Below are 16272 nucleotides of genomic sequence, written 5' to 3' on the forward strand. Positions count from 1 at the left end.
TCTGAAATTAAAAGGGCATCATTCTCATAGGGTAAGTTCCAAGTGAAATTCTGGGCCAATCAAAATGTGCAGAATAACAAAGATTCTAAGCCCAGGATAAGATCCAGAGTGAATCAAGGTGATGTAAGAATGGCTGAGAAAGTGATTGGCAATTCTATATCAGATGATCGGCACATCTCCAGGCAAGAAGGCATTAGGCATATCTAAGAACATGCATCATGGTAATTTTGACTGTGGCAAATGTGGAGTATTAGGCAGTAGTTTGGTCATTGTGGAAAAAGACAGCCACTCATTGGTTCAGAGAAGGGTCTAGTTACAGAGAATTAAGGCTAGATCTGGGCTGGCAGCATAACCAATATGCTGCTTAGCTACTGAGCTACAGCCCTACGGTCCTCTTTATATTGCTTTAGCTAATCAAGGTCTGATATTAGAGGCCGGGGCTGGGCTGAAACCTAATGGGAAGTATAGCGGGTTAAATGACAGGAAGCCAGGCAAGCTAAGAGCCAGAAGCAATGCACCTGGAAGTCTTATTCTCTTGAAGACTTCAAATACTAACAGAACAGGAAGGTCAGTAATAATGACAGAGGCATTTTTATCCTTCTGGGGCTCCTACAGCCTCTACTGCTTCGGCTGCTGCCCCAAGGACTTTCTGATGGTGCATCAGTCTGCGTATACTAGAGGTGGCTCCCGGGACTTCTTTAGACTGGGTTCCTGCTACTCCTGGCTGTTATTGGGTTAAAGAAAAGAAGTAACTTTCCAGATAGAGATATGTAAATTGCAAAAAGCATGGAAGTAAGAAATTATTTGGCATGTGTAGAAATGATGAGGAGTCATATTTTGTTGAAATAGGGGACTGGCAAAAGGTGAATCCAGGAAGAATGGCTTTTAAGACCAGGGTGATTCATCTCTATGTGGAGTCATTAATGATTCGTGAGGAAAGAAGTAACAGCATGGGTGCTGCATTTGAAAAAGCTTTATGCAACCTCAGGGAAAGGATGGATTTGTCTGCTACGGCTGCCAGAGCAAAATACCTGACACTGAGTGGCTGAAACTACAGAAATTTATTGTCTCACAGTTCTGGAGGCTGGAAGCCTGAAACCGAGGAACTACCAGCATTGGTTTCTACGAAGGCCTCTCTCCTTGGCTTGCAGGTGGGTGGTAGCCTTCTCACTGTGTCTTCACATGGCCTTTTCTCTGTGCCTGAGCATCCCCGGTGTCTCTATGTCTCCTCATAAGGACACCAGTCATTTTGGATTAATGTCCCCATCCTTATAACTTCACTTAACCTTCATTACCTTTGTGAAGACCCTATCTCCAAATATAGTCACATTGAAGGTTAGGACTTCAACATATGAATTTAGGGGGCACACAATCAATCCAAAACAGAAGGCCATGAAAGCAAAGCCAAGAATATTGTTATCAGTTTACTGCGGGGAGGAAATTGGGATCTGAACTAAGCTGATCATAGTGGAAAGGAAAAGAAGGTGGCTCTGAAAGACATTTCATAGGTAAAAGCTATAATGACTGAGCAGCTGATTGAATGTAGAAGCCAAGAAAGAGAAATCAACCATAAATCGTAAGTATTCAACCTGGGTAGCAAGGAGAAAGATATTGACCTTAAACAAACATGGGTTCTTTTTCTATGTGTATTTGCGTCTTTCACTTTGTCCTTCATTTATTTTCTCTAGATACCACACTTCCACCCTAATTTATTTCTCTATTTCTATCTCCTCCAAATTGCTACTGCAGCAGAAATTCTGACATTCTCCACTTGGTTAATCTTCCTTAAGACAATTCCAGGAAACAAATCTCCATATAAATAAATCCAACATATCACTTCTACTGTGCCCTGTTCTGTCCCTCTTCCTACGTTCTCAGGCAGTGCAGTTATTTCTTTTTGATTGCTTTATCTGTTTACTAGTTCCTCTGCTGCTCTTGGTTAATATTCCTCCCTCCTATTTCTGTTGTCATTTTTTATTCAGTCTCAGCTATTGCCAAAACCATCATGTCCAAGTTATTACTTGATGATTTACATATAAAGAAACCATTTTAAAGGTAGTTTATTATCAAGGAGGGAAACGCAGTACAAATAAAAAGAACCACTTTATAAATGATCTGTTGTACTTTTGGAACTCAGTCTCCCAAAATAGTACTGACTAAAATATGGTAGGTTACACAAACTCAGAAATGAGGGACCCCACATAGAAGATTATGAAAGAGGTGGATTAGACAAATTTATGGACAGTTGTTAAAAAAACAGGTTATAATTAGACCAATGGAACAGAACAGGGGCCTCAGAAATAACACCACATATCTACAACCATCTAATCATCGACAAACCTGACAAAAACAAGCAATTGGGAAAGGATTCCCTATTTAATAAATGGTGCTGGGGAAACTGGCTAGCCATATGCAGCAAATTGAAACTGGACCCTTTCCTTACACCTTATACAAAAATTAACTTAAGGTGGATTGAAGACTTAAATGTAAAACCCAAAACCATAAAAACCCTAGAAGAAAACCTAGGCAATACCATTCAGGACATAGGCATGGGCAAAGACTTCATGACTAAAACACCAAAAGCAATGGCAACAAAAGCCAAAATTGACAAATTGGATCTAATCAAACTAAAGAGCTTCTGCACAGCAAAAGAAACTACCAACAGAGTGAACAGGCAACCTACAGAATGGGAGAAGATTTTTGCAATCTACCCATCTGACAAAGGGCTAATATCCAGAATCTACAAAGAACTCAAACAAATTTACAAGGAAAAAAAAACCCATCAAAAAGCGGGCAAAGGATATGAACAGACACTTCTCAAAAGAAGACATTTATGAGGCCAACAAACATATGAAAAAAAGCTCATCATCACTGGTCATTAGAGAAATGCAAATCAAAACCACAGTGAGATACCATCTCACACCAGTTAGAATGGCGATCATTAAAAAGTCAGGGAACAACGGATGCTGGTGAGGCTGTGGAGAAATAGGAATGCTTTTACACTGTTGGTGGGAGTGTAAATTAGTTCAAACATTGCGGAAGACAATGTGGAGATTCCTCAAGGATCTAGAAACAGAAATACCATTTGACCCAGCAATCCCATTACTGGGTATATACCCAAAGGATTATAAATCATTCTACTATAAAGACACATGCACACGTATGTTTATTGCAGCACTATTTACAATAGAAAAGACTTAGAACCAACCCAAATGCCCATCAATGATAGACTGGATAAAGAAAATATAGCACATATACACCATGTAATATTTTGCAGCCATGAAAAAGAATGAGTTCATGTCCATTGCAGGGACATGGATGAAGCTGGAAACCATCATTCTCAGCAAACTAACACAGGAACAGAAAAGCAAACACCACATGTTCTCATTCATAAGTGGGAGTTGAACAATAAGAACACATGGACACAGGGAGGGGATCATCACACATAGGACCCTGTGGGGGGTGTTGGGGCAAAGGGAGGGAGAGCATTAGGACACATACCTAATGCATGCGGGCTTAAAACCTAGATAGGCTGGGCGTGGTGGCTCACACCTGTAATCCCAACACTTTGGGAGGCTGAGGCAGGCAGATCATGAGGTTAGGAGTTCGAGACCAGCCTGACCAACATGGCAAAACACCGTCTCTTCTGAAAATACAAAAATTACCCAGCGTGGTGGCACACGCCTGTAATCCCAGCTACTCAGGAGGCTGAGGCAGAAGAATTGCTTGAACCCGGGAGGCAGAGGTTGCAGTGAGCGGAGATAGCACCACTGCACTCCAGCTTGGGTGACAGAGCGAGACTCCATCTCAAAAAAAAAAAAAAGAAAAACCTAGATGATGGGTTGATAGGTGCAGCAAACCACCATGGCACACGTATACCTTTATAACAAGGCTGCATGTTCTGCACATGTATCCCAGAACTTAAAGTAAAATTAAAAAAAGAAAATAGATTATAATGGAAATTGTATTATTTGAAGATATTTTCCTCTACATTTTCTGACTTATGTGTTAGCACTGCTTTCCAAATGTTATATCTAAATTATCCAAGGAAAACAAAAGATAAAATTAAGAAATGGGCAAGGGACCTGAATAGACATTTTTCAAAAGAAGACATACAAATATATCTAGCCAACAGATATATGAAAAAATGCTCCACACCACTAATCATTACAGAGATGCAAATTACAACCACAATGAGATATTATCTCACACCTGTTGAATAGCTATATCAAAAGGACAAAAGATAACAAGTGTTGCCAAAGATGTGGAGAAGAGGGAACCTATGTACACTGTTGGTGGAGATGTAAATTAGTACAGCCATTATGGAAAAAAGTATGGAGGCTCTTCAAAAACCTAAAAGTAGAATTACCATATTATTCGATAATCCCACTTTCGGGTATTTACCCAAAAGACTTGAAATCTATATGTTTAAGAGATGTCTGCACTCCCATGTTTATTGTAATACCATTCACCATGTTCAAGTTATGGAATCAATCTAAGCATCTATCAACAGATAAACCAATAAACAAAATGTGGTGTATATACACAATAGAATACTAGTTATCCTTCAGAAATGAAGAAATCCTGTCATTTGTGACAACATGGATGGAAGTAGAGAATATTACACTGATTGAAATAAGCCAAACACAGAAAGACAAATACTGCGTGTTCTCACTTATTTGCGAGATCTAAAACAATTGAACTCATAGAAGTACAGAGTAGAATGGTGGTTATCAGAGGCTAGGAGATAATAGTCAAAGGGTAAAAATCTTCAGTTACATAGGAGGGATAGTCTGATATTTTGGAAGTACATTCCACAGTATGGTGAATATAGTTGATAATTGAGTATTGTACATTTTGACATTGCTAAGAGAGTAAATTTCAAACGTTCTCATCACAAAAATGTTAAATATTTGCAGAGACGGATGTGTTAATTAGCTTGATTTAATCATCTCATATTATATGAAAAATTATAACCTTACTTTTTACCCCATAAACATATATAACTAGAATTTGTCAATATAAAAAATAAGAGTATATTTGGGTTGAAGCACATGTAAGGCTAGTGGAGTGAATGTGCATGAACTGACTATCACATTTTCTTTGCTATAAATTGTATCCTATGATCAGAGGTGATATGTGGTATACTATCATGTCTTAGTCTGTTTGGGCTGTTATAACAAACTATTATAAACCAGGAGTCTTACAAACAACAAAAACTTATTTCTCATAGTTCTGGAGGGGAGGAGATCTAAACACCCGTAGATTCAGTGTCTAGTGAGGGCCCCTTTTCTGGCTCATAGATGGCACCTCCTCACTGTGTCCTCACATGATGGTAGGGACAAGGCAGCTCTTGGGGCTCCTTTTATAAGTCACTAATCTCACCCATTAGAGCACTGCTCTCATAATTTAATCACTTCTCAAAGGCCTCACCTCCTAATATGATCACATTGGTGATTAGGTTTCAATATATGAATTTGGAAGGGACAAGAACATTCAGACCACAGGAGATGGTACAGACAATCTTAACATTGATGAATGGAGGAGATACTAATGAAGTTAATGAGTGAGGAGGCAAATCTTGACATAAATTTTGCTTCCATTCCTATATGTATAGATAAATCACTGTCCTCTGTATGATGGAAGAATCCAGTAGGTGGCTGGCTGTATTGAGTCACAGTTAGTTGTTGCTGTTTGCAGACTGGGTACCTAGCAGTTGTAGCAGACAGGTCAGCCTTAGTGATGGGAAGTCCATGTTTTTGAGTTCATGCCTAGGCTGCATCTATGTCACATGGTCACTTTGCACATAGGCCCTATCAGCAGCACAGGGCATGGGAAAAAGACTGACTCACATCCATTGAGAAGTAATCTTGTCTACCTTATTACTGAGAATTTTCTCCACCTCGGTGTGCCCTTGGTAAGCATTAGGTGGAAAACAAATACTTTCATATTTCATACTTTCTTCTTTTTACAAAGCCTCCAACTAACTAAATATATATATATATATATAGTTAGTTATATATATACACACACACATACATATATATACACACATATATAGTTCCCCTCCAAACCACTATATAGTTCTCCTCCAAATTTTCTTATAATCAATTTTCTAATTTTCTTCTTTTCAAGTCCCTCTTCAGGTGACAAACCTGCTAGTTTGTCCAAGAGTCATGGTAGATCAATAGCTCAGGTCCTCTCTTCTTCTACACAAAGTGAACTATCATCTGTAACACTTGAAAGCCTGCCAGCCGGGAGGACTTTCCATCACTACTATTTTTCCAGAGGCATCTCTGTGTGAGCTTTAGTACATCAGCTGCTCACTTTCAACTGGGCTGGCACAGCAGGAATTCATCTTTGTATGAGACCCAAGATTTTCTTGTAACTTTTCATAGGAAATTCCCCAGGAAGTCCTCGGTTTGGGACAAGGGTGAGGCAGCAAAGTAGTAAACTGAGAGTCTGCGCTTCATGCAATGCATTTGCCTTCCAGACACCCTGGGGCCAGCCCTCATGGATACCACTTCCGCTTTACAATGTAATTTTGCTGTGTATACTCAAGTTTATGGTTTCATGGTCAGTTCAAAACATGAAACACAGGTCGCATGGTAACTCATTGTATTAGTTTCCTAGGGCTGCCAGAACAAAGTACAACAAACTGGGAGGCTTAAAACGACAGAACTTTTTTCTCCCATAATCTGGAACCTAGAGGTTCCAAATCAAGGTGTTGGCAGGGCCATACTCTCCCTGAAGGCTCTAGAGGTGAATTTGGTCCTTGGCTTTCTCTTGGCTTCCAGTGTCGCTGCCAATCCTTGGTGTTCCTTGACTTGTGGACCCATCACTCCAATCTGCCTCCGTTGTCACATGACATTCTACATTCTCCTCGTGTGTCTGGCTTTGTGTCTTCTTCTTTTCTTGTAAGGACACCCATCACAGTGGGTTAAGGGCCCACCATATTCCAGTATCATCTCAAGTAAGTACATCTGCAATGACCCTACTTTCAAATAAGGTTGTTCTGAGGTTGCAGGAGGGATATGAATTTTAAGGGGACACCATTCAACCCAGTATACCTATGGTCCCATGGTTGGGTGTTCAGACTCCACCAAAGCCAAAAATCCTTCTTTTCTAATGAAGAATGGTGGTTTGGCTGAACGCGGTGGCTCACGTCTGTAAATCCTAGCCCTCAGGGAGGCTGAGGCAGGTGGATCACTTAAGGCCAGGAGTTCAAGACCAGCCTGGCCAACATGGTGAAACCCCCTCTCTACTAAACATACAAAAAATTAGCCAGGCGTGGTGGCACCTACCTGTAAACCCAGCTACTCTGGAGGCTGAGGCACCAGAATCACTTTAACCCAAGAGGTGGAGGTTGAAGTGAGCTGAGATTGTACCACTGCACTCCAGCTGGGTGACAGAGCAAGACTCTATGGAAAAAAAAAAAAAGGATGGTGGTTTGCAGAAGAGGGCAAGACGACCTTGCTCCCCAAATCCCAAGGGTCTGCACTATTATTCTTTTAATGGGACTATTCAGAGGCTTTATACATCTGTCTGCCCCAGAGACTTCTGCTACCTGCTGCATCATAAGGCCCAAGGGTCAGGATGGCTGCCAGAGCCCAGACCTGCTGCAGAGCCTTTTCTTCCTCTGAGCCCTATTCAAAACTAGTAGCTTTATCAATTACAGTAAATGGACTAGAACAACTTGATCAAAGCTGGTATTGTTACCTCCAAAATCCCAGGAAGCTCAACACATATCACACTTCTTGTTCCACAGTGAGCTGTGCAAGGCACAGCAACAATCCTGTTACTCTAGAAGGGATATTACCATGTTTCATATCACTGGGCCCCTAGCAATGTAACAAGAGAGTTAGGCTGCTGAACTTACAGAACATTTATTTTTTATCTGAGTATGTAATGTTTTTATTTATGGATGTAATAACTTAAATCACTCTTAGAATATTAATCTGGCTTCCTCTATTGGTTTCCTCTAAGAACAATTTTGTTTGTTTATTAATGTATGTCTGTCTTTCCCCTTTAAACAGCCAATTATTCTCATACAGCTGCCAATTCTTGAGTATCTGTTTACACTTAAGAAAGAGGACAGGAGAAGGGTGTGGGTTTTCTTTCTGTGATACATAAATGTCTTTATTCTTTTTCTCTTTTTGCTAATTAAGAATTTCTAATTAAGTCCTGTGTGGGGAAGGGGTGGGCTATGTGTTATTCAATAGGCATCACTTTTGTTGAGTGATTATCTAGTTGCAGATTAGCAGATTGAAGAGAACTTTCCTCTTGGGCATCAACATTGACAATAGAAGCCTTAGTCTCCTCCAGAAAGCTCATTAAAATTATTTAGGAGGAGTTCTAGGATTTGCTTCTCCCCATCCCACCCTCCTTAAATCTTAGGCAAGCTGAGACAGTTAATCGTCTTAGTTAGGGCACCTATATTGGCACAATCAGGTGGGGAAAAGGTATAGGAGTACCACCTGGAGTATTTGTTGTGTATACACGTCTTCAATTAACTTCTTTTCAGCATTACTTCTCATTCCCACTCTGCTTATCTTCCTGACTTTGAGGTAGGGTTCCTAGTTTGCTCTATAGAAACCAAGTTGGGTATTCGTGACTGTGGCTTTCTTAGCTGGTTTCATCCTTACACGTGCGCACGCACACATACACACACACACACACAATTCCTAAACTCTCCCGGAAATCTGTTGTAGTCTCTCCCCTTCTCAAGGTATTAATTCCTAATATATGTCTCATTTTGTGGTTATTCCTTTTTTGTGTTTCTATTCTTTGATTTCACTGTGATGTCAGAAAGGATGGGGGCTCACGAATATGCTCTCTTGAAGCAGGTATTTCTTTTTCTTTTTATTAACAAGATTCTATTTGTGGCTTTCTACATTTTTATAATAAAACATTTTTAAACAAATATAGAAGTAGAGAGAACTCCCATATGCCCATTATCTAATTTTAACAATCTTCAAGACTTTGCTATATTTGTTTCATCCATACTTAAAAGTTTTTTCATTTGACAAATCATTTTTAGGCAAATTGTAGACATCAAGTTATTTCACCCTTACACAGATCAGTATGCATCTCTAAAAATGACATTTTCTTATATAACTGCAGTACTATTATCAGTAACAAAATTAGCAATAGCATTTTGATGCATCTAATATTCAATCTATAATTAAATATTCATCATTGTTCGAAAATGCTTTTTACAGTGATTTTAACGTGGGATCAAACATGGTTGAATTATGCATTTGGTTGTTAAATCTCTTTAGTATAAAGCAGTTGTCCTTTTCCCTCTTATTTTTCCTGCCATTGATTTCTTACTGAAACTGGATCAATTGTCTTGCATAATGTCTGAAGGCATCAGTCAGCGCTCTCCAGAGAAACTGAACCAATAATCAATCAGCAGGGTCTTACTTTCACCCACTCTGTGACTGTCAACCTTTTAACTGGAAGGTTTAGAGCTTTACTGTCCAATACAGTAGCTATTAGCTACTTGAAATGTGCTTAGTCCAAATTGCTATACACTTGTAAAAATACATACTGGATTTCAAAGATGTTCCAAAAGAAAGAATGCAATATTTTTCATTAATAATTTTTAGATTGATTGCATGTTTAAACAATATCTGGATATATCAGCATCTTTTTATTTGTTTAATATGGCTAAAATTTTTTAAATGGTAAAATGACTTACTATATTCCTATTAGCAGTACTATTTTATAACATTAACTCTTAATGCAATTACTTATATAGTTTCACTGAAGTCTACTATTTTGTTATTTGTTTTCTACTTGTTCCCCTCTGTTTTTAAATTCTCAGTTCAGTATTTTTCATAGTCCTCAGGTAGGCTTTTCTTTGGTGCTTTGGGGAGTGGATTTTCCAAGAGTTTTTAGTTGTAACTAGCAGAAAGGATGCGCTGCAGTGGACTTACGTGCCCTTAAGAGAACTGAAACTAGTCTAATTACATTTGAAAGTAAGAATGCTGCTAGTTCTACTTTTACTTATTTTAATTTACTGAGATTGTTATTGTGGTTTAATGTAAGGTCAATTGCCTTTAATGTTCCACAGGAGTTTAAAAAGTAAGGTAATTCTCTATTTTTAAGGTCTAGTTTTTGATGTGTATAGGAATTAGATTTATAATATTGATTTTTTTTTTTTTTTACATATGGCTGGTGGCAGAAACTGCCCTTCAAACCTATTTCCTCTTATTTTTGAGCACTCAACAAGAAGCCTCATTTGCAATGAAATAAGGACTATGTGATTGAGTTTGGACCAATGGAATATGGGCAAAAAATGATGTACCCCACTTCCTGGCCTGGACCCTAGAACCTCCTATACAACCATCCATGATCTCTTTCCCCTTTGCCAGTTGAGTGAAGGTGACAAGGTTCCAGATGATGGTGGGACAACGTGATGATAGAGCATGCATCCCTGAATGACTGCATAGAGCAGTCTTCCTCTCCCCACTAATGTGCATTGGACAGCAATTAGAGTGATCAATAAGCTGAGCTTTGGAGGTAGCTAGTAAAATAGCTGGAGTTTCTTACCCTAGCTAACATAGAACTCTACTATCCTATTGATATGGTTTGGTTATGTGTCCCGACTGAAATCTCATGTGGAATTTTAATCCCCATGTGTCAAGGGAGTGACCTAGTAAGAGGTAATTGGATTATAGGGGAAGATTTTCTCATGCTGTTCTTGTAAATTGTCAGTTTCCCCTGCATTCTCTCTCTCTCCTGCCACCATGTAAGACATGCCTTGCTTCCCCTTCGCATTCTGGCGTGATTGTAAGTTTCCTGAGGCCTCCCCAGATATGAAGAACAGTGAGTCAATTAAACCTCTTTTCTTTATAAACTACCCAGTCTCAGGGAGTATCTTTACAGCACTTTGAAAATGGATTAATACACCTATGTAATGGGTTGAATGGTGACCCTCCCTTCTCCATCCACTACAAAAACATGTCCACCTGGAATCTGTGAATGTAACCTGATTTGGGAGAGAAAAAAAAAGGTTTTATTCAGATGTAATTAAGTTTAGGATCTTGAAATGAGGGCATCCTGGATTATTGAGGTGGGCTCTAAATCCAACCACAAGTGTCCCTCTAAGAAGGGGAGAAAACATGGAACCACAGAGAAAAAGGTGATTAAGGAAGGAGGCAGAGGTCGAAGTAATGTAACTACAAGGAATGCCAAGGCTCTTTATTTACACTTCAAACCTACTATTCTGTACTCAGATTTGTGATCTGCAGCCTCTTAGGTGACATAGGAGCATTGTATCCCTGATAGTACTATATTTTTGTTGTTGCTTATATATGAGGTAACTATATGGGAGGAAAGTGCAGTAATTACTTTTTGAATTCAGCATATTAAAAGAACAAAGGGGAGAGATGAGATCTTCAAAATATTTTTGAGGCTGGATCATACTGATCTAGTTAACTTTCTAGTGGTGTTTTGAAGAAGGCGTTTTATTGTTTTTTAAAAGGTTCTTTAACATTATTTGAAATAGTTAATATAAATATTAACTCTTTAACCCACTTTTCTCTAAACTCTAAATAGTTTATTTAGTTAGTTGACTAAAATTTAGATTCATTTGTGGCTTACACTGAATGAGGTTGAGATGCCTGAATGCCCCTGACATAAGAGGTCCTATCACTAAGGCATTGAGAAATACCTGGTGAGGTGAGTAGCAGCATCCTTGAAAAGCTCTGTGTTGGCTGTCCTTTGATGCCTGGATATGATGGTGAGAGGTGGGCTCATTGATTTTTCTCAGGATAACGGTGTGACATAATGGTGCGGCAGAGGTTATGGCAGCTCCTAATCACCAAAGACAAGGTGAGTACACTTACCTTAGTGGATAAGAGGTTGAAAATATCAGCATATTTTGTCCTGAAGGAATCTTTGCTGGGGGCTATTTATTTGATCACAATATCCCTAGGGTTGAAATAGATTGATAGCCTACTTAAATGTTCTTGATCCAAATAACAGAAAAATATTTCTAAGTTTGGATTCCAAATAGAAGAATTACTTTACATACAGCCTCTTAAGAAGGGAAGATGAAATTCTTTCGAGGAAGGACACTGGAGAATTAACACAAGATTATACTGTAGATCTTCTTTCCAAGACATTTTCTAGAGTCATGTGTAGAGAGGAAAAAGGATATATTTGGACTTTATACGGACTGTTGGACACTAGCTCCAAGTTGATGTAAGTGCCGAAGGATTCAAAATGCTGTTTTGTTTCATCAATCAACAGGAGGTCTATAGTGGACAGATAATGAATGGAGTTTTGTCCCAAATTTGAAGTACATTCGTTCATTAGTCCATCTGTGGTTAGTTCTCCATTTCTGGAATGCATAACTGGAAAAGACATATGCAGCAACTTATAGAATCCCACTTTGGCTCTCTGACCTATGGAAGAAGGACCTTTATGGTAGGAAGGATCAAGCAGAAGCTACTGAAACTTTCTCTTCTTCAAAATAGTAAGCCCAAGAATTGCTTTGGATTCTGCCTTCAGACTTGAGAAATACAAGCTTGCTGAAACTTAGCACATTCCCATTTATTTTTTCAGAGATCTTGGTACTATGCCCATGTGGACCCTCCACCAAGCTTGGAGGTACCAGCACCAGCCAAGCAGGGCTCTTTACTCAGGGTTTGAGTTTTAGCTCTATGGAGCTGTTCTTTGAAACTTATAAGTTTTATAACTCCAATCTCTTTCCTTTGCTTCCTCAGCTTTAGGAGTGGTAGCTGCTTCCTGAAGTTGCACTCCCTGTGATTCCTTGGTGTTGGTGTTCCTTTTGGCCTTTCAGTTCTTTAATACTGAATAAAGGGCCTGACTCGATATATTTTGATGTTTGTCACCTTTCTTTCTTTCCTTTCTGCTCACCTGTGGGCAAGCTGATGAGAAACCCTGGGTGTTCCCTCCTTTAGTTCTAGAGGGAAGTTCAAACTATAGAAACTCTGCCCACACCAGAATTCTCACCTTGGCCCCGCCCCACCCTCTAAATATCACAAAAACATCTATTTGTCTTCTTTCTCTGTTTTCTAAAGACTTTTTGGACCTTTCTGGTAAGTTTGCCCTGCTGTTCCTAGAAAATCCCATGATGTGATGATAAACTTTTCTATACTGTCTTGGTGTGTGTGAGGCATCATCAGTCTTGACATCTAAACAGAATTTTGGTTGGGGGTCCCTCCTGTTTCTGAGAAATAACCACAACAAATACCTAGTTAAGAATTCTTTTTTTTTTTTTTTTTTTTTTGAGACGGAGTCTCGCTCTGTCACCCAGGCTGGAGTGCAGTGGCACAATCTCGGCTCACTGCAAGCTCAGCTCCGCCTCCTGGGTTGAGGCCATTCTCCTGCCTCAGCCTCCCCAGTAGCTGGGACTACAGGCACCCGCCACCACGCCCGGCTAATTTTTTGTATTTTTAGTAGAGACGGGGTTTCACTGTGTTAGCCAGGATGGTCTCAATCTCCTGATCTCGTGATCCACCCGCCTCTGCCTCCCAAAGTGCTGAGATTACAGGTGTGAGCCACTGCGCCCGGACAAGAATTCTTTATATTAAATTATCTCTGTTAAAATAACTGTGGGTTCCTCTCTCTTGACTGGATGCAAACTGATACAGTAGGTGAATTAAAGACTTCCATTCCTAATGTGTTTCTATTTTCTTTTTATTTCCTGTGGTTTACATTTTGCTTAATGAGTTCTGATGTGATATTAGTTGATAAACATCCCATAGCTGTCATAATTTCATTGTGTATTTCTCACTCTATAGTTATAAGATACTTTTCTGTTTTGTTTAATGCTTTTTTTTTTACTTTAATTTACCCTGTCTGATACCAAGAGTGTGAATTTGTTATTTTTGTTGTTAATATTTGCTTGGTACTTTTTTGCTTATTTAAAAATACTTCAAACTTTCAGAGTTATTCTATTTTAAATGTATCTCTTGTATACAACAGACTCAAATTTTGTTTTGAGAGTCAATCTGAAATTTCTTTTCATTAATAGATAAGTTTAGACTATTTGCATTTCTTCATATAAAAGATGTAGTTCATCTTTATTCTATCATGATAATTTGTTAATCTTGCTTGTTTGTGTGTATGTCTTTATTATTTCCTTCCTTCTGCTAAATTTGGGCTTAGTTCTTCTTTTTCTAATTCCTTGAGGTGTAAAGTTAGGTTGCTTAGTTCAAATTTTTCTTCTTTTTTATTATAGGTGTTTATGGCTATATATTTCCCTCTTAGTGTTACTTTTGCTGCATCCCTTAAGTTTTGATGTGTTGTGTTTCCATTTTCATTTGTCTCAAGGTATTTTTAAAATTCCCTTTTGATTTTGTCTTTGATTCAATTTCCACATATTCGTGTTGTTTATTTTGTATGTATTTGTGAATATGCTGATTTTCTTACTGTTATCGATTTCCAGTTTTATTCCATTGTGGTTGGAAAAGTTATGTAGCATGATGTCAATCTTCTTAAATTTGTTGAGACTTGTTTTGTAATTTAACATTATATATCCTGGAGAATGTTCCATGTGCACCTTTTCATCCTTTTACTTTCATTTTATGTGTTTCATTAAATCTGTAGTGAGTCTTTAGTAAACAGCACTTTACTGGACCCTGTATTTTAAATCTATTCAGCCATTCCATGCCTTTTGATTGTGGAGTTTAATATCTTTACATTTTAAGTAATTATTGATGAGTGAGGGCTTACTATTGCTAGTTCATTAATTGTTTTCTGTGTGTTTTGCATTTGTGTTGTTTCTCTCTTTCTCTCTTGCTTTTTTCCTTTATTATTTGATATTTTTGGGTGAGTGATTTGATTCTTTTCTCTTTATACTTTGTGTATCTATTATAGGTATTTTTTTCCTTTGTGATTACTTCAAGGCTTCCATAAAATATCTTATAGTTATAACCATCTATTTTAAATTGATGACAACTTAACTTGAATCACATACAAAACTCTACACTTTTATTGCCCACCTTCATACTTTGTATTTTTGTGGCCAGAGTTAATTTCTTTTTATATTGTGTCCATTAACAAATATTTATCTTTTAGCTTTTATATTAGGGTTAAAATAACTTATGTACCACCACGACAGTGTTACATTATTCTGTATTTGTCCATGTGTTTATCTTTACCAGTGAAATTTATGCTTTTGTATGTTATGTTCCTTGCAGAGTGTTTTTGTTCCAATTTAAAGAACTCCTTCAAGTATTTTTTGTAATATAAGTCTCCTCTGGCTTGCCATAGATATATATGTATTTTTTTTTTTTTTTTTTTTTGCTGAGAGATCCATTGATAGTCTTATAGTGATTTCCTTATATGTGATGAGTTGTTTTTCTCTTACTGCTTTTAAAGTTCTCTTTTTCCTTGATTTTTATTATAATGATTTGATTATAATGTCTTGAAAGAGTCTTCTTTAGGCTAATCCTCTTTGGAAATGTTGAGCTTCATAAATCTAGAGGTCTATTTTCTTCCCCAGATTTGGAACCTTTTTGGTCATTATGTCTTCAAATAACCATCTTTCCCTATTTTCTCTCTCTTCTCCTTCTGGGTATCCTGTAGGCATAAGTTAGTTCGCTTGCTTGTGTCCCATAAGTACTGTAGGGTTTCTTCACTCTTTTTCATTATTTTTTTTCTTCTCTGACTTGATAATTTCAAACGATCTGTCTTTGAGTTCACTTATTCTTTTTTCTGTTTGATTGGGTCAACCATTGAAGCTCTTTATTTTTTAAACTCCTTTCATTGAATTTTTAAACTCCACAACTTGTTTAGTTCTTTTTTATGATTTCTATCTATTTGTTGGACTTCTCTTTTTTTCATGTATTGTTTTCTTGATTTTGTTGAGTTGTCTATCTGTATTCTCTTGTAACTCACTAAGCCTCTTTAAAACAATTATTTTGAAGGCTAGGCATGGCGGCTCACTCCTGCAATCCCAACATTTTGGGAGGCCAAGGTGGGTGGATTGCTTGAGCTCAGGAGTTCAAGACCAGCCTGGGCAACATGGTGAAACCCCATCTCTACCAAAACACACCAAAATTAGCTGGGCATGGTGGTGCATGCCTGTAGTTCCAGCTACTCAGGAGGCTGAGGTGGGAGGACCACTTGAGCCTGAGAGGCAGAGGTTGCAGTGAGCTGAGATTGTGCCACTGCACTCCAACCTGAGTGACAGAGTGAGAGCCCACCTCAGAAAAAGAAAGAAAAACTATTCTGAATTCTTCATTTTGCAATTCATAGATCTCCATTTCTTTGGTGTTGGTTACTGGAAAT

General features: G+C 38.2%; 1 long non-coding RNA gene across 1 annotated transcript in view; it reads left to right on the plus strand.

The window, feature by feature from the left end:
- Positions 1-6694: 6694 nt before the first annotated feature.
- The window catches only part of LOC105378061 (uncharacterized), a 30866-nt gene continuing 21288 nt past the window's right edge, over positions 6695-16272 (plus strand). Inside the window, exons 1-2 of the long non-coding RNA XR_001744416.2 lie at positions 6695-6973; positions 11780-11841. This is a non-coding gene — a long non-coding RNA (uncharacterized LOC105378061). The remainder of the gene's footprint in view (positions 6974-11779; positions 11842-16272) is intronic.

This window comes from Homo sapiens, chromosome 6, assembly GCF_000001405.40.
Source record: "Homo sapiens chromosome 6, GRCh38.p14 Primary Assembly".
In the NCBI taxonomy this organism is placed as follows: Eukaryota; Metazoa; Chordata; class Mammalia; order Primates; family Hominidae; genus Homo; species Homo sapiens.